General features: G+C 44.0%; 2 long non-coding RNA genes across 5 annotated transcripts in view, besides 1 other annotated feature; one reads left to right on the forward strand and one right to left on the reverse strand.

Annotated features, from left to right (window-relative positions):
• Positions 1-18448, reverse strand: part of BBOX1-AS1 (BBOX1 antisense RNA 1) — a 172928-nt gene that overhangs the window by 153855 nt on the left and 625 nt on the right. For 2 of the 3 annotated variants that reach the window (NR_125767.1, NR_125766.1), the window contains exon 2: positions 16277-16440. This is a non-coding gene — a long non-coding RNA (BBOX1 antisense RNA 1). Of the gene's footprint in view, positions 1-16276; positions 16441-17618; positions 17729-18448 lie in introns of those variants that run through there. The other variant, NR_125768.1, reaches the window with a different exon arrangement.
• Positions 1214-2712, forward strand: LOC124902651 (uncharacterized). 2 transcript variants are annotated; one of them, XR_007062631.1, is made up of 2 exons: positions 1214-1302; positions 2303-2712. It is a non-coding gene; the product is annotated as an uncharacterized LOC124902651 (long non-coding RNA). The 2 variants fall into 2 exon arrangements; XR_007062632.1 differs by having other exon boundaries at positions 2306-2712.
• Positions 14798-15303: an enhancer, noted in NCBI's record as "H3K27ac-H3K4me1 hESC enhancer chr11:27237385-27237890 (GRCh37/hg19 assembly coordinates)". NCBI's record gives its function as "activates a minimal SCP1, AML or CMV promoter by ChIP-STARR-seq in primed H9 embryonic stem cells {active_cell/tissue: H9 hESC(primed)}" and the evidence as "EXISTENCE:reporter gene assay evidence [ECO:0000049][PMID:30033119]".

Consider the following 18448-nt stretch of genomic DNA (forward strand, 5'->3'; position numbering starts at 1 on the left):
TCCACCTCCACCTCCACACCCTGACTCCTGTTTTTCATAGGGCATTTGTCAATTACATCTCGCTCATTCATTTGTTGATCCTCTTCACTCCCCAAACAATTCATTTTCCAGGAGAATACAAATCTTGTTTGTAAAGTTGTGCATTATCATCAGACTTTAGGCACCTGGCAAACAGTAGGTATTCAATAAATGCTGGTTAAATGAATAGAATCACTCATTTGTTCATTCAACAAACATTCATCAAAAGTGTATTTGGTACCAGGAATTGTGCCTATAAAGGAGAATTTCATTCATTTATGAAGTGTCTTCCTGCCTCTCTACCACTTCCTGCCTCCTCTGCCCATACTCCCCCTCAGTCCACACACACACACACACACACACACAGAGGCTGGCCTCTGTCTTTGCTGCCATGTGGCTGGCCCAAAATAAAGAAACCCAAAAATGGGTTGACCTTGTACCCATGGCCAACTGTAATGCAGAGCAGACGGTGGCAGCCAGCCAGACAATGGAAGCTGAATGTTTCCTGGGCTCAGCCTAGCAAATATTCAACTGTAATAAAAGCCACGGTCCAGTGAGCAATTAGAGAAAGATGCCCAGGTGTCACTGGAGAGGGTAGTTCTTATTTACAAGAACACATGGAGCCTGGTGAGCAGGCAGCCCTCCTCCTTGGCCTTGACTTTATCACAGCAAACAGGCCTGACCAAGAGCTTTCCTTCAGACACTTGCAGCTGGCTGGGAAATGAGTGTGATAGTAAACACATGTTGCTTCGCTTGTGACCTGACAAATCAGATTACCTGCCTCAGACACACACAGGGGCTTTATAGTGAGGCTATCTAAAAATCAAGCTCTCTGAATGTACAACTGGTTTGTTGTTGTTTGTTGGGGTCTGAAATTACTCAGAACACCTTGCAGTCACGTGGAACAGAATATATTTTATTTTATTGTCTCCCATTCCAACGGAGCTAACACTAGCCTTGTTTGTGTCAAGGAACCCAAACATTATCATTCAAAGGCCGTATTCACAAACGAAGTGGGATGGCCATAAAACTGATGACCTTGCTGCTTCTGGAATCTCATAAAAAGTTTCCAAGCTGCTCCTCCCCAGAGCAAATAAGGGCGTTGCAGTTGCTAGTCCCCTGGCAGGGTTCCAGCTGGGGCTATTACATTCCTCCCTCATAAATACAGACTTGTCGGCCTGACAGGGTGCTTAACTCTGGAGGTGCTGCTGTGTTTGGAGCATTTAAACCCAGAGGCAGGGGCGACGCAGAAAAAAAAAAGGCATCAGAGTTGTCGGGGAGCAGGTAGGGAATGGTGAAAAGAGGCAACACTGATTGAGAAGATGTCATGTGCCAGGCACTGTGCAAATGATTATGTATGCATTTTCTCATTCAAGCTTTGTAACTTATTCATAGGCCAGCCCTCAGTGGAAAGCGTTAACCCATGTGCCCATGTATTGAAGGTCAAAAGACACATGCCAACTACATTTGGCATTTTTGTTGGGGTCACAGTGGATATTGTTTATTAACTGTGTGTGTTTCCCAATGGTCTTTGTGGTGGAAATGGCCCACTGATACAAATGCAAGAGCCAATGGGCCATGTGTCTGGGTAGGGCTTCCAGGAATCTATTGTTTGAAGCTCTTTGAATGATGATGATGTGAAACTTAGAAGAACCATTTTATGATCAAAAGGGTGGGCCGGGCGTGGTGGCTTACGCCTGTAATCCCAGCACTTTGGGAGGCTGAGGCGGGCAGATTACCTGAGGTCAGGAGTTTGAGAGCAGCCTGGTCAACATGGTGAAACCCCGTCTTTACTAAAAATACAAAGATTAGCCAGGCATGGTGGTGTGTGCTTGTAATTCCAGCTATTTGGGAAGCTGAGACAGGAGAATCGCTTGAACCCAGGAGGTAGAGGTTGCAGTGAGCCGAGACCACGCCACTGCACTCCAACCTCGGCAACAAGAGTGAAACTCTGTCTCAAAAAACAAACAAAAAAAAAAAAGTGGGGTGAAAAATGGCAAAACACACAGAAGAGGCTGAAATATGGATAGCACCATGGATACGTTCCCTCACCCCAATCTGCCTGTGCTGGGCTCCTTGTCACCATGAAAAAATAAACCCTTCCTTGTTATGCTGGACACTCTAAGGTGGCCCCCATGATCCCCACCTGCTGGTGGTCATGTCTGTATGTGCTCCACTCCCCTTGAATATGGGTAGGGCCTGTGACTTGCTTCTAACCAGTGTGGCAAAGGGGACGGAATGTGACTCTGCTGCTTATGTCATGTTATGCAAAGCTTCTTCTTAGCAGGCTTACTCTCGAGATTCTCCCTGCTGACCTGATGAAGTAAGCAGCCTTGTCGGGAAAGCCTACATGGCAAGGAACTGCAAATGGCCTCTAGGAACTGTGAGTGGCCTTTAGGAGCTGAAGTTGGCCTCCAATCAGCAAGAAGCCAGGGCACTTAGTCCTACTGCAGCAAGGAAATACATTCTGCCAACCATCTGAATGAGCTTGGAAGTGGATTCTTCCCAAGCCAAGCCTCCATATAAGAATGCAGCCCACCTGACACATTCATAACAGCTGAGCAGAGGACCCAATTAAACCGTGCCTGGACTCTTCATCCACAGAAACTTCGAGATAATCAATGCATGTTGCGTTAAGCCATGACGTTTGTGATAATTCGTTATGCAGCAATAAATGACTAACACACTCCTTTACACAGCTCTAGTCAGCTTTTCTTTATGTGCAGCCAAACTGATACATAGTTGGTGGATACACAGATGATCATCTAGGGAGACCTCCCAAAATGGGAGGAACGGGAACTGATGCTTAGAGAAGGTAGAAGAGCAGGGATTGTCAGCAACTGAAGAGACAGCTGCAGTCTTAGACATTTTTCTCCCAAGAGAAAAATTGGGTATTCTCATTCAGAAGGCCTTTAGCTGCTAACTATGTAGATGCTCTCCAAAATACCATAAGTGATTAAGAACTAGGAAAAAGAAAGTTTGTTTGATAAACCTTTGGAGTAAGTCTTTCACTGATTAAGGTAGGAGAGTAGCAGTTTCTTTTGATATTCAAGGCTCTTTGTAAGCAATTGGCTGCCTTCCATTCAATTATCAAGATGTGCCATAATTTACCAAGTCCTTCCTCTAATCGCAGACTATTTGAGATGCCTTCCATCTCTAAGATTTTTTTTCTTTGAGACGGAGTTTCACTCTTGTTGCCTAGGCTGGAATGCAATGGCACGATCTTGGCTCACGGCAACCCCCACCTCCCAGGTTCAAGTGATTCTCCTGCCTCAGCCTCCCAAGTAGCTGGGATTACAGGCAGCAGCCACCATGCCTGGCTAGTTTTTAAAATATCTTTAGTAGAGACGGGGTTTCACCACGTTGGTCAGGCTGGTTTTGAACACCTGACCTCGAATGATCTGCCTGCCTCGGCCTCCCAAAGTGCTGGGGTTACAGGCGTGAGCCACTGCGCCTGGCCCCATCTCTAAGATTTTTAGATTTGTTGGAAATAGTTATGAAATCCGAACATAGCAATACAATACCAGCTGGCATCTTATGAGCACTTACTCTGCAAAGTGCTGTGTCAAGCCCTTCACTTGGATTATCTCTTTCATGCTCACATCCATCTTGCAAGGTAGGAATGATTATTACCCCCACAAGACAGAAGAGAATACTGAGACTCAGAAAGGTTCAGCAGCCAGCCAGAAGGGGGCGGGGTTCAAACGCAGGCAGCAGCCTCCATACCCAAGGTGTTTAAACACTAGGTTATTCATTCAGTTGTAAAAGATGGAAAATAGAGAAAAATAGTAATAAAAAGGGGAAGGGAAAATTTTCCTTTACTCCAAACACCTAAGAACAACCACAGATAACTTTCTGATATATTTCCTAACAACACAGAAATTAGACTAAATATACAAATGTGTATCCTGTGTCTATTTTTTCAGTTATTGTAATGCTTTCAAGGCTCCTTGTAAGAACTGGCCACCTTCTATTCCATTGTCAAGATGTGCCATAATTTGCCAAGACCTTCCCCTAACAACAGACAATTTGAGATGCTTTCCATCTAGGGCTATTACTAATAAAGCTGCACTAAGCATCTTTGTGCATAAAGATTTTTCCACATTTGGAGTTTCCATATGAGGGTAGAATCCCCCAAGTGGTATGATCGAATCAGAAAGGATGAGTACACACTTAAGGGTATTGACACTCCCTGCTCTGATTGGCTCCAGTTCAACGATGCCACAAGAGGCTTTGGAGACAAGAGAAGGAAGACCTGCATCTCTCAAACAGGAATGGACCCCTCCCATGAACATTCCTGTCTTCAAAAGTGACATGAGGGACTATTTACCTTTAGAAGGCCAGATTTTTATTGTCCTCTGGAATACAGTGCTTCTTCCAGACGCTATAAAATTCAAGCCTAATATTTGGTAAACTTCCCTAGTGTTTGTGTTTCGTAAACTGTCTCCCAGCTGTAGCCTCAGCTCTCTTTATATGTTCCTAAATAAACACCAGGTCCTGCTCACTGCCTTCTGGTCAGAGCAGAACTCTGCTGTCACCCAGCCTCTTGGTTCTCATTGGTACCTACCATATTTTCCATTATTTTATAGATGCTCAAAAGGACAAAAGAAGTTTTTAACCCTACAGGCACAAAAATGTGCTTTGTTTTTTAGGGAAAATAAGTGAAACTTTAAAAAAAAAGTTTATTGTGATGGCTAAATGACCCAGGAAAAGCAGTTCTCATGCCATCTGTTGCAGCTCTGTTTTAAATTAGGATGATGGAGCCAGCTATTTGAATGGAAAGGGACCCTAGGGCACCTAGTAATGAAAATACCTAGCATTTCCTGAATGTTTACTGTGTGCCATGCACTGGGCTAAGTATTTCACATAGATTGTTTCCTATAACCTCAGCACAACCCTATCAGCTAGATAGACTAATTTTTCCTGTTTTACAGATACTGAAACAAAGAGACAGAGAGATAAATAACATTCCAAGGTCCTACAGCTATTTAGCCCTTTCATTAGAGCCACAATACATCTTAGAGACCAGTGAGGTCTTAACTCTGCTCTAGGGCTTCTAGGACCACTGCAGACACAAGGGCTGTCCAAGAAGGGAAAGTCAAAGAGAAAGGCCCCTACCCATCTTACTTTTCTTTCTCCCTGTGGTAGACAGAATAATGGCCTCCCAAAGATGTCCATGTTCTAACCTCTAGAATCTGTGATATGTTATCTTACATGGCAAAAGGAACTTTGCAGATATGACTAAGTTCAGAACTGGGAGACAGGGAGATTATCTAGGATTATCCAAGTGGGGCCAATCTAATTACACAGGACCTTGAAAATAAAGAACCTTTCCCAGCTGTGGTCAGGAGCTGTGACTGTGGAAGAATGATTAGAGAGATGCAATGTTGCTAATTTTGATGATGGAGGAAGGGCCATGAGCCCCAAAAGTGGAATTTCTAGAAACTGGAAAAGGCAAAAAAAAAAAAAAAAAGGCTGCTACCACAGAACCTCCAGAAAGGAATTCAGTCCTGCCAACATCTTGATTTTAGCCCAGTGAAACCCATCTGACTTCTAACCTGTTGAACTATAAAATGATAATCATGTGTTTTGTTTTGTTTTGAGACAGAGTCTCACTCTGTCTCCCAGGCTGGAATGCACTGACGCCATCTTGGCTCACTGCAACTTCTGTCTCCTGGGTTCAAGCAATTCTCATGCCTTGGCCTCCCAAGAAGCTGGGACGACAGGCATGTGCCACCATGCCCGGCTAAGGCTGGTCATGTTGGCCAGGCTGGTCTCAAAGTCCTGGCCTCAAGTGATCTGCCTGCCTTGTCCTCCCAAAGTGCTGGGATTACAGGCATGAGCTACCACGCCCGGTCCAATCGTGTGTTCTTTTGAACGACTTAATTTGTGGTAATTTGTTATGACAGAAATAGCAACTTAGTATACCCTTGTTTTAGGCAAATCATCTCCACTATGTTTTTGAGATTGCTTTTCAGTGTGATCGTTTATTTGGGAAAGAAAACAAAGGGGACTTTTCCTGTTTTTTTAAAAAAAGTTGAAAACTAATTCCTCTTTTTTCTCCCCCAGAAGAATAATGCTTATGCCTAGAGATAGAATGTGCTTTTTCTGTGGTCACACCATGACAAGGCAACAAGCCCAGTGTTTACTCAACTGCAGCCCCACTGAGTGCTCAGGAACCTCCTCCTCTGAGCCAGGGCTACAACTTTGGGCTCTGACGCATAATCTGGCACTAAATATTTGATGAAAAGCTTTGTCACTCAGCCATTCAACAAATATCCCCCAGGATGGATCAGACACTGTACCATGCATTGGCAATGAAGGGATGAATGCACCTCAGTCCCACCACTGGGAAACTCAGGGACTTACATTACAGTGACTAGAATTATGATATGCAGGGCAGGTTCTGTGGTTTGTTTGACCTCTCCAAACCTCATGCTGAAATGTGATCCCCAGTGTTGGAGGTGGGGTCTAATGGGAAGTGTTTGGGTCATGGGAACAGATCCCTCTCAATGGCTTGGTCCACTCCTCATGGTAATAAATGAGATCTTGCTTTATTCATTCCCACAAGAGCTGGTTTCTAAAAAAGACCCTGGCACCTCTCACCTCTCTCTCTTGCTTCCTTTCTCACCATGTGATCTCTGCACAGCCATCTTCCCTTCCCTTTCCTCCATGATTGGAAGCTCCCTGAAGCTCTCACCAGAAGCAGATGCTGGTACCATGCTTCTTGTACAGCCTGCAGAACCATAAGCCAAATAAACCTCTTTTCTTTATAAATTACCCAGCCTTGGTTATTCTTTGATAGCAATGCAAGCAGACTAAGATGGCAAGACAGATCACAGACAAAGGCTACCTAGCTCAGTCCTACCTAGCTCATTTCCAGGAAATGACATCTAAAATAAGGTGTGAAAGATAAGTGAAAACTGACCAAGCATAGAAGAAAAGAATATTGTTTTTTTGTAGAAGGAATAGCAGGGAGAGAAGAAATGGATAGCTTCCATGAGTCAAGAGAATGGATGAAACACAGGTTTTAAAGAGATGGTGGTCAGGATAGTTGAGATAAGAGAAGTAAACCAGAGTGGCTACAAAGGGCCTTACGAGCTAAGTTTAAAATTCACTTGAGTTTACTATCCCTGAATGTCCATTACCTCATTACAAGGGGAAGCCATGGAAGGTCTACTCTAAACTGACATAGAGAGATACCAAGCATGGGGCCAGGACAGAATAGGAACACAATAAATACCTGTTGATTCTGAATTCAAGCTGGTGATTCGTATAATCAAGGTATGTGAAAAGTGCAATGGGAGCAAGGAGGAGGGACGGGCTAGCTCTACCTGCAAGGGATGGGAAGATTCACAAGCAGGCAAAGTTGGCTTGGGCCTTAAAGGGTGAGTACGACAATGGGTGTGTTAAGTGACTTGTTATTTTTCTCTGCAATCTTCTATTAGCACATACTGACAGTCTTTGGGGTCCATCACACTCTCAAAGACCTTCATGCCTTGAAAATCCTGCAAATTCACACCTCTATTTCTAGTTTTTTATTTTGTACTAATGATGTATTATCATACTATAATGTTGGACTAGCTTTCCAAAGGCATGCGGTAGAAACAGGCCCCATCCCCAACAACCTTCTTCCTTACCAACAAAACATTAGCTTTATTCAAGACAGAAAAGTGCCAGCCCTGGGTTGGTGGGGGTTAAATCGTGATTGACCTAAGTCAGTCATGACTATTTCATTAACATTTGCCAGACACTCACTTTTCCAGGCTCCCTTGCATCTAAGGGCAGTCATGGGACCCAGTTCTGGTCAATAATATTGTGGTCATTTAGGTATAAGAGTGAATCAGCTGGGAGGGCTTCTGGGATACTTTTGTTTCCTCACTGATAAAATGACATAGTCATTCCAAGAAAAGGATCTTTTGCCACTCCACACTCCCACTCCTTGTCACCTGTCTACTTTTGAATACTGTTGTAATATCTGGAGACACGGCAGCCATCTTGAAACCATGAGAAACAGGCAGAAGAATCAATGACCTACATAAATATAGAGATGAAAAAGTGCCCGTCAACTCAATAATACTGTGGAACTGCTGTTCTCACTTTAGACTACTTATCTCCAGACTTCCTATTATGTGAGATAATCAAAGTGATATGGTGTGGGCCACTATCCGTCAGGGTTTTATTACTTATAGCCAAATAGATTTTAAATTATATAGATGTTTCCAGAAAGAGGACTATCTTTCTTCTCACCAGGATTATGAAGCTCTAAGACTATTAATAAAATGGCCAACTAGCCACACAAAGATGCAAGATATTGTTTTCCCAATCCAGAAAGCAGAAAACTTTCTTCCTTTAATCTTCCCTTCCCAATGATGACTCTTCCTTGGCTGGGAGGAGATGTTTGCACTTCAGATTTCATACCTCCAAATATTACCTATTGCTTCATTGCCCTTTATATTTGGCCAGGCCTTTATTCATGGTGGCCATTCTGGAGACCCCAGCTGGTTAGGAAAATTGAACTTGTCAAAAATCAGAGTGAGATTCTCCTTGGCAACTGCAAAGGTAAGCTGTCACCAGCCCTGTCAACAGTCACAGCAGAAAGAGAGCTATTTATTCATCTAAGACCTTCATGAGTCACAGTCTAAACATTCTGCAAACCCTCCCCTGGCAAGTCATACCCTGCCCCAGTCTCTGGGGAGAATGCTTCCCACCCAGAGCCACTTCAACACAACAGACTCTTGGCTTTGGCTGTCTAATCTTTGGGCTGCACAAGTGGTCATGTTATTAATGACTCTGAGTCATCATATAGGGTATTTCATCTGGAGTGTGTGTAAAGAGGAGGAAGATGGAGGGCTACTGTAGCCCAGACAAGAAGTGAGGCTTCCCCTTGCTATGCCTCTACCTCACTGTGTACCCTTCAAAATGCAACCAATTTCTTGCATTATAATGCTTCAAATCTCTCCACTTCTTGGTGAACTCCTTTTTTTTTTTTTTTTTAATGAGATTGAGTTTTGCTCTTGTCGACCAGGCTGGAATGCAGTGGCGTGATCTCAGCTCACTGCAACCTCTACCTCCCAGGTTCAAGTGATTCTCCTGCCTCAGCCTCCCAAGTAGCTGGGATTAAAAGCACCCACCACCAGGCCCGGCTAATTTTTGTATTTTTAGTAGAGACAGGGTTTTGCCATGTTGGTCAGGCTGGTCTCGAACTCCTGACCTCATGTGATCCACACGCCTTGGCCTCCCAAAGTGCTGGGATTACAGGCATGAGCCACCGCGCCCAGCTGTGACCTCCCCTTTTAATGCCCTCTTGTTTGTCCGTGTCAAGCAGCATTCAAAGAACTGAACAGTACCCAGATGGGTTTGCACAGTGCTGAGGGTGAGAGAGATGGCAGACAAGGGTTCTGTTTTTTATATATATATATATTTTTTTTTTTAATTTTAAGCCTAGGTTTTTAATTATACTTTTTCATTTTTGTTTTAAATTTCTGCTCCATGCCAGTGTATACAGTGAATATGACCATGCCCTTTGAATGTTAAGCCTTGATGGCACCTTTCATGCAGAGCTTGACTCCGTGTATGTAGTTTAGTTGTTACTTCTTTCAGGAAGTCTCCTCTTATTTATTTAAGTGGTGCTCCGTTTATGAGTCCCTATAACACCTGCTACCTTCCTTAACAAAAGAGTTTATCACACTGGTAATTTGGTCACTCCTGTGACTGCAAGGTCTGTAAGAGCAGGGTCTATCTCGTCACCTATGTCAAGAACATTCTCTGACACATAGTGGGCACCTCAACTAACATATAGCGAGTGAGTGAGTAGATGGGCCACCTTCTACAGCCTTCTACAACGGAGCAAATCCCAAAACTGGCCTTCAGGCCCCCAGACTTGGCCTAGACTTGGTAGAGAAGATGAGGACAGGACTGATCAGAGGGATGTTTCTGATATTCTATCATTCTGTGGTCACGGCAACATCAATACCTTGTGGATATGGACCAAGGCTTATAGTTTCCTGTCCAATAAAAGAGAATCTGGCTGGCCACAGTGGCTCAAACCTATAATCCCAACACTTTGGGAAGCCCAGGCAGGGGATCACTTAAGCCCAGGAGTTTCAGATCAGCACAGGTAACGTAGTGAAACCTCATCTCTACTGAAAAAACTAAAAGTTAGTCAGATGTGTTGGCATGTTCCTGTAGTCCCAGATACTGAGGAGGCTGAGGCAAGAGGATCACTTGAGCCTAGGAGTTCGAGGCTATAGTGAGCTATGATCGCACTACTGCATTCAGCCTGTTCAACAGAGTGAGACCTTGTCTCAAAGAAAGAAAAAAAAAAGATGGAAAAATAGGTCTTAATATTATACGTTTGCTGCGGAGATTAAAGGAGATTGCATGCTCACAGTCTGTGACCCATAGTAAGTGTTCAATACATGCAACTGCTATTATTACGAGCTAAGAAGGGACTAAGAACCAAAATCAATGTTTCTTCCTGTTATAACATAACCCTCCCACCTGAATGTCTGCCCCCTTGTGGTGTTGCCAGGGAATGCTAGGATTTATCTGGCTATCTTTCAATGCCTAATATGACACCTAATTTGAAATCACCTGGCACTCGCACACACAATGTACGCTCTTTTCCTTAAATCCAGATTGTACCTATTTACCTGGACGTATCCAGAACTTGCACTGTGGCCTTTTCCAGATGCAATCCAGCTTTTAAGATTTTATGTGTAATCCCCATCTCTCCCGACCTTACTGGACTTTGCCTCTGGACTCTCTGGAGTATGAGTCCAAGCAGCCCTCATAGACTCTGGCATGGGTTTGTCTGCTGACTCTCCTGGCTCCCCACTTCCTTGATAGGAAGTTCTCGTCATGTCTTCAAGTTCCTCTCAGCTGAGACCACAGCCAACTAGCCAGCTGGCTTCCTGGTTGAACAACCAACACCCCTGGGTCCAGCACAGAAATGGTACCCAGGAAAAGTGTATGGAATCCAGTGTCCTTATGTTTCCTGTCCATTTCCAGTTCATCACTGGGATGGGGCTGAGACCTTATCCTCAACAAGGCTAAAACCTCCTCTGAAATGGCTATGTGCCTCACACCAAAGGACAAGAAAATTGCCCATTGGTAGGCAAATGTGAGTGTGGGAGTGAACCCCAAAAACCTATCAATTACCCTGACCCGAAAAAACACTATCAATGTAAAATGCAGCCCAGAGAATAAACATATCCCAAACCAGTTTCAAAGTGTGATTGACACCAGATAAATTCATTTTGGGGGGACCATGTTAAAAAGGGGAAGGGAGAAACTCGTTGAGCACCATATGCCTGACATGTTCTCACATAATCCACACAACATCCTGTAACCTTGATAGCTCTGTCTTTAAGGTGAGCTGTGAAACTCAGATCAGATTAGTAATTTACCCCAAAAGTTACATATTAAGTGACCAAACATGGATTCAAGCCCATATCTGTCTCCAAGCCCAAGGTCTAAGAACTCTCATTCTCCCATACTAGCCATAAAAAGGTAAAACTCCCCTTCTAGAGATGATTACCCATAACATCTCCCCTTGGTAGACACTCTGTCTTCTCCTTTCCTCTGCAGACTTTCTGTTGAGATCCTGCCCAGCCAACCAGCCAGCGGGCTTTATTCTTCTTAAGGCCTTTAAGAAGGCCCTCTCTACTTAGAAAGGCAGTAGCATAGAGCACAGTCATTAAATCTGGTTCCAGAGCCAGGTAGCCTAGGTTCAAATCCCAGTGCCACTACTTACCAGCTTTGTGACATTGGACAAGGTATTTAGAGTGTCTGTGCCTCAGTTTTCTCTTCTGTAAAGTAGGGGCAATAGTAGTAACCTATCTCACGGGTGGTTGTGAAGATTGACCGAGTTCATATGGGGCTGACATATATTAAGTGCTCAGTAAGTTTTAGCTACCAGTATTACAAGTTAATTTTATAAAAATTTGACAAGGCATTATAAATTTCATTGGGCAGATGAGGAAACTGAGGCAGAGGACGGTTAATATCTTGTCCATGGTCACACTGCTTATCACAGGGAAAGCCAGGATCAGTTGAAAAGAAAAGGGGGGTCTCCCAATTCCTTACCCAGGGCACTCTGTCCTCCTGCTCACTTAACCAAGAGGCAGAAAAAGCAATTTACCTGTTAATACAAGACATAATCTCCCCTCCCTGATGTTCTCCCTGTCACATGAACCACAAAGAAGTCACCACAAACATCCATTTATTTATAAACCTACAACATTAGCCTCTTCACTTAAAAGCCTCTTGGTAACTTGCTGGTTAAAAGCGTTTCAGATTCTGTCAGAGAAACAAGCTCACACTGACATCTTGTCTCCATATGCCTTTGAAAACCTGCTGAGAGTCCCTTAATCCCTCGCTGAGGAACGTTCCTCTGCACTGTGTTCTTCTAAGGTTTCCACCGTTGGGTGTGGGTATTTTCTGAAAGCTCTCTCTTTTGAAAAATTCCCATGCTTTGAGTCATGCCAAAATCAGAGGGAAATGAATGCTGCCAAAAGTCCCAACATTTACATAAGCTCTTAATCAGCCCTCTGGTTCATTACAGTGTGACATATCAGTTACACTGCTGTTCAGGCAAAGAAATGGGGTCTTGGAATCTGCAGAGGGCCCTGGAAAATTGTGTTCTCTGAGTGGAAGTGGAGCAGGTTCCAGCTTCTCCCTTTATAAAAGTTCGATCTTGGCTGCATTTGTGTTTACGTATTTAGTAAATATTTATTGGTTTCTTAATATGGGGACCATAATAATTGATGGAGAGACAATAATAAGTAAAAAAGATATGACCCCTGACTTTATGAAGCTTATAGTCTAGATGGACAACAGACACTAATCAAAATAAAGGATACTGTGAGAGTATCTAGTGGGGGACATAAACTTGACCCCATCTGGGGTTCAAGAAAAGCTTCTGCTAGTGAATGATGTTTCACCTGGAATCTGTAGGTCTGGGGAGCAGGAACGTCTAGGCAGTGTAGTACAAAGCGGGGTAGATGAAGTAGAGAGAGCAGAGAAAATGAAGATAGATGAAGCCAGTGAGCTAAGTACATCTTTATTTTAGAGCTATGGGAAACCACTGAGAGCCTGTAGCCACCGTGTCTAAGGGCGTCACCATCCTGATTATTATAAAATATTCTCCCTGTATTATGGTTATTTCCCTGTCATCTCCTACCCTGATTGGCATAATAGCTACTATTTTGCTAGCACTATTTTATATATACACATATATATATTCACATTATATGTGTTTTTATATACAGAGAGACTACACACACACACACACACACACACACATATGGTCTCACCAATCCTCACCCCAACTCTATAAAGAATATACTATCATTATGCCCATTTTACCGATGAAAAGAAGGCTCAAAGACAGCAAATAATCTGCCTATGACTACACAGATGAGACAGGTTGGAAGGCAGGTCTCTCTGATTCCAAGGTCCAAGTTTTTAACAAGTCAATACTGCAAGTTCCCTGCAGTCAGCAGCTGGGTCTTTCTGATTCTGCTTGGTTTGCTAATGCCTGGCCCACAGGCATTACAGGTGTATGGAACTAACTTCCTTGCTTGTCCAAGCCTCCTGTCCCCTACTCCTCACCTAATCATAGGTGACGCTTCTAAAGCCCTTACTTACTGCATGCCAGCTATGGTTCTAGTACTTCATGCATATTTGCTCATTTTCATTTTTGCCGCAACCTATGAAGTAGGTACTATTATTTTCATCCTCTCCATTTTTCAGATAAGAGAACTGAGTTGCAGAAGCATTAATAGCTTCACCAAGGACACACAGTAATAAGCGGCCCAACAAAGATTCTAACCCAGGCCGACTGGATCCAGAGCTTGGACTCCTAACAACTAGAGATTATTGTTCCTTTCGCAATCCAGCCACATGAACCTCCTTTATATTTAATGCAAAATATGCATTGTTTTTCACCTCCAGCCTTCTCAAATGTCAATGTCTCTTCCTATGCATTCGCCTACTCCACCTAACCTCACTTTCCCTTGGGCTCCCTCCTATCCATCCTCCAGGATTCTTGGTCAGGGTCAGCTGCCCCTTCTGTGTGTGCTACCCCATCACCCTGTGCTTCCCCTTCCCAGCACTCAGCACATAAACTGGGTATTTCAACTACAGGTTCTCTGTCCACCTCCCACCCTTGACTTGAAGCTGCACAGGACAGGGTCCAAGCTACCCAGGCATTTCTATATCTACAATGCCTGCAGCTTGGCGGGGGCTCTATCATTACTGTGAAATGACCAGATACATTTATAAATAAGTGAATAAATTTGAATAGTTTTTTTGTACCCCAAAGTGGTTACACATAGCAGGCCTCATTCAGTGTTGCTGAATGAAGAGTCAAGCGTATAATGTTATTCCAGAATTAAATTTTTACTTGTGGTTTTCTTTTTCTCCCTCTTTGTTTTCAAAGCCCAAAGAAAGATGACAGAAGAACAAAGATGAAGGAGGAGGCCACTGGTTTACAGGAAGGGTAAAGGACAACGACTATCCAGATTTTTCTTCCAACTTTACTTTAAGAAAAAAAAAAAAACAAAAAACTTGAGGTCCTCCTAAACCACAGGCATTTGAGCAGTCTGAGGGGTAGCCTCCTGGACTCCTTGTCTACCTGTCTCTCCTGAAGCTTGGAACCTGCAACAGCAGGCCCAGGGGCTCCACTGAGAGTGCTGGAGGCTCTGAAATGGAGCACGGAAGCTGGCGTGAGCTGTGATTGTTCCTGAGCCGCAAGGACAGTGGCTGTTCTGGGCACTTCAGGAAGTACTTGCTCCAAGAGGCCCTTCCAGCTATTGTTGTTAGGCCTGAGCATGCTGGGCTGGCACCAGGACAAGCTGCCCTCTCCAGGTCAAGGATTGGTCCAGGGCATTAGGGGCAGGAAGGTGAAGTGGGGAGGTAGCGGGGGAGGGAAGGATATGCAAACTAGGAAGGAGTCTTGGGCCTGGGCTTCTCTTTTCTTCAGGCCATTAATGCCAGGAGCCACCTGCCTCTAGGTTTATTTCTGTCTCCTCTGGCCATACACTGCACAGATTCATGATAAACCAGATGCTGCCAGTGATATCTTGGCTGGGTCCACAAGAACTATCAAGTGCCGTGAAAGGAACATGGGTTTTAGAGTCCAAGACTCTGGGCTTGCATGCTGGCTCTGCCCCCATGTGTGCCCTTGGGCACTTCTGAATCTCCTCTTCCTCTTCCTTTTCCTTTTCCATAAAAAAGAAATGATAACCAGCTTGAGAGGTCATGAGGATAAGATAAGCTAAGATTAATGAACTTGTCAGGTACACAATGGCAATGGGAAAATGCTAGCTTCCTCCCTTCTCCTGAGCAGCTGGACAAGGAAGGGGGTGGGCGTCAGGGGGAGCTTGGGCAGCAGATGTCACATTTCAACGTGTTCCTCCCTAGCTCAGGCTGCAAGGCCTGGGCACTGAGCCCACTCCAGCCTGAATTCTCCCGACAGCTGCTCAGCTTCTCTACTTGTCCTTGCTCATGACTCCTGATTGAACCAAGAAAAGCCTCTGCTTTGCTCCAGTGACAAAAAAATAAATAACAAGAATGATGTAACATGTGTCTCTCAAGGCCATCAGCCACAGAGAAAGTCCAGGCTTCCGGATCTGTACCCCAAATCCACACCAGGATTCCAAACCAATCCCCTGCTGTCCCGTGGATTCTGGTAGCTCCTGTGTTAACCCTCTACCTGCAGGCAGCTCTGCCTCCCCCTTGTCTTGTGACCAAGGCCACCAACACTGTCACTGAGGCACAAAATTGGCTGGAGGCAGGAAATGAGTTCCTAAGCACTAAGTCTTTGCAACCTGATCTTTAGTAATAATTTATTACTACATTATACTAGTTTAATTAGTAATAACTAATTATTAATACTAATTAAATTACTGGTTTATTCAGCAATAAATAAATAAACACTTATTGAGCACAATATGCCAGACACTCTTCTAAACTCTTTATGTTAACTTTTTTAATCTTCACAAACACATTTTGAAGTAGGTACTGTTCATAACCCCATTTTACAAAGAAAAAACTGAATTTTAGGGAGTTTAATTGCTGAACCAAGGCCACAGAATTGGTGAGTTGCAGGTAAAATTTGAACCCATTTCTGCAGATGTCAAGTTGTGTTTTTTTGTCTTTCCATCATGCTACTGACACCCAAACCAAATGAAACTGGCAGCCCGGATTCTTTCAGAGAGATGTTGTAAAAGAGTTCCCCCAGCAACCTCACCTGTTAAACCCCCAAATTAAGTCTGAAGAGCAAAGCAGGAGTCTGACTGCTCTTCAAAGGGAGAGATGTCAGGAAGCATGATGTAGTGAAGCCTCTCTCTGCTAGGTGCTAGAAGTGTACTCCTAGACCTGTCAGCGGCCCTCTTTGGTATTCAGGATCTTCATCTGTAAAAGGAGAAGATAAAAGTAATTTGGCTTCGACAAGATTCCTTCCAACCCTGACATTCCATAATCCTATGAAACAGCTACCATTTATTATTTCCTCTGTGCCAGATACTGTGCTGAGTATTTCACATAATCGCAAAATCATCACAGCCAACAAATAGCTGTGATGGAGCTGCAAATGATGGAGCACTGCTTATTTGCCAGGCTCTGCTGTAAGTACTTGCCCCTGTATTATCTCATTTAATCCTCAGAACAACACTAAGAGGAAGGTATTATTATCCCCACCACCCTCAAGGATCTAAGGCTCAGAAGAATGATACAAAGCTACTCAAAGTCTCCCAATCATTAAGTGCTGCTCTTGGGGTTTGAACCCAGATTTTTCTGACTCCATAACCCATGCTTTTAATCACTGTACTACTTCAAGTGCCCCCTCAACGTCAGGCAAGGGCAGACACCAGGAATAGGCTGTGTTGGTTTTTGGTTGCCCCACTGACTATCCATCTGCAGTTGTTTTTCTTCCATTCTGATCATCAATCATAGTGTGACTTAAATGGGTCAGGATAAGGAGTCCCCAGCTGCCATGCACAGCCACAGCAGCCACTGCCCACAGTCCTTTCTGTGGGCTTTCTGGGCAGCATTAGTGGAAAGTCCTATCTGTGAAGTAAACTAACAAGATTGGGGGAGGGGTCCCCTTATTTATTTAATCATCACTCCCCAAGGCTAAACTGGTGGCCTGGCAACAGTGAGTATTTTCTCTGAGCTCAGAAGCCAACTCCAAGTGTTCAGGGTGAACAGGTTGGGAAACTTGAGAACCACACAGACATCAGGAAAAATTCCGTGAGTGGTTGTCTGTGGTGAAATGATGATATGGCCCTGAGTTTGCTCTCCCCAGGAGAACTTGGAAGCTGCCCCCTTTTCCACCTCCCACCTCACTTGGAACTAAGTAAACCAAGAAATTCTAGGAAGCAGCCCAACCTGAAAGAGCTGGCTTCTCCAGGAAAAGAGAGGGGAGGGTGAAGAGACCCAGGGTCTGTCCGTCCCAAGGGGATGGTCAGTCACAGAAGTCACTGACCAGCACTCCAGGCCAGATCTCACTGGTCCGGCCACAGATTTTTCTAATCCTGTGAGTTGAACTGCACCCAAATGACTGCAGATGGGATCAGAGATGGAGGTCTCACCAGTCAGAGGAAAAGCATCCAAGTATCAGGAGAGATGCATAGTTCTAAGAGGAGCCATCTAAAAGCAGGCAGAGTTTGAAAGAAACTTCCAATTAAAAAAAAAAAATGCCTTTCTGTGAGGTCACTCCCTGTGAGGCAGGAGAATAGGGTCTGGAGGCAGGGAACATAAAGCCGATTCATGCTGACTTCCTAGAACTAAATCAAATGGAAACACTTCAGCTATGACAGGAAATACCCTCTCCATTTACACAGGGCATACACTGAGTAAATGACTTTGTAACTTCTTTGTAACTTTGCTTCTTCCTCTTCATCTACATAGGGTGTAACCAAGTAACCAATGGAAACCTCTAGTGCATATTTAAACCCCAGAAAATTCTGTAACAGGGGTCTTGAGCCCCTGTGCTTGGCCCGCTCCCACCCTGTGGAGCGTGCTTTCATTTTCAATAAATCTCTGCTTTGGTTCCTTTATTCTTTCCTTGCTTTGTGTGTTTTGTCCAATTCTTTGTCCAAGATGCCAAGAACCTGGACACCCTCCACTGGTAATAACTACAACCAAGGTCACCACATCACACTACCTGTACTTTGCTCCCCAAAAACAGTTGCTAGCATTTATTCAGAACCTTCTCTGTTCTATCAGTTAAAAAAAAAAAAACCCTAGTAATTTCTGGAACAAAATCACAAATATACTCACTTTCACAAACAGTGTAGACATGTCAAGAATCCTATTTCTTACCCACAAGAGGACCAGTCTTGTCCCTTTACTGTGTGTTTTTGATTGCACTGGTCACTAAGTTTTTTCTCAGCGAAACAGCACCTTATCAATACATCAT

Source organism: Homo sapiens, chromosome 11 (genome assembly GCF_000001405.40).
Source record: "Homo sapiens chromosome 11, GRCh38.p14 Primary Assembly".
Taxonomy (NCBI): domain Eukaryota; kingdom Metazoa; phylum Chordata; class Mammalia; order Primates; family Hominidae; genus Homo; species Homo sapiens.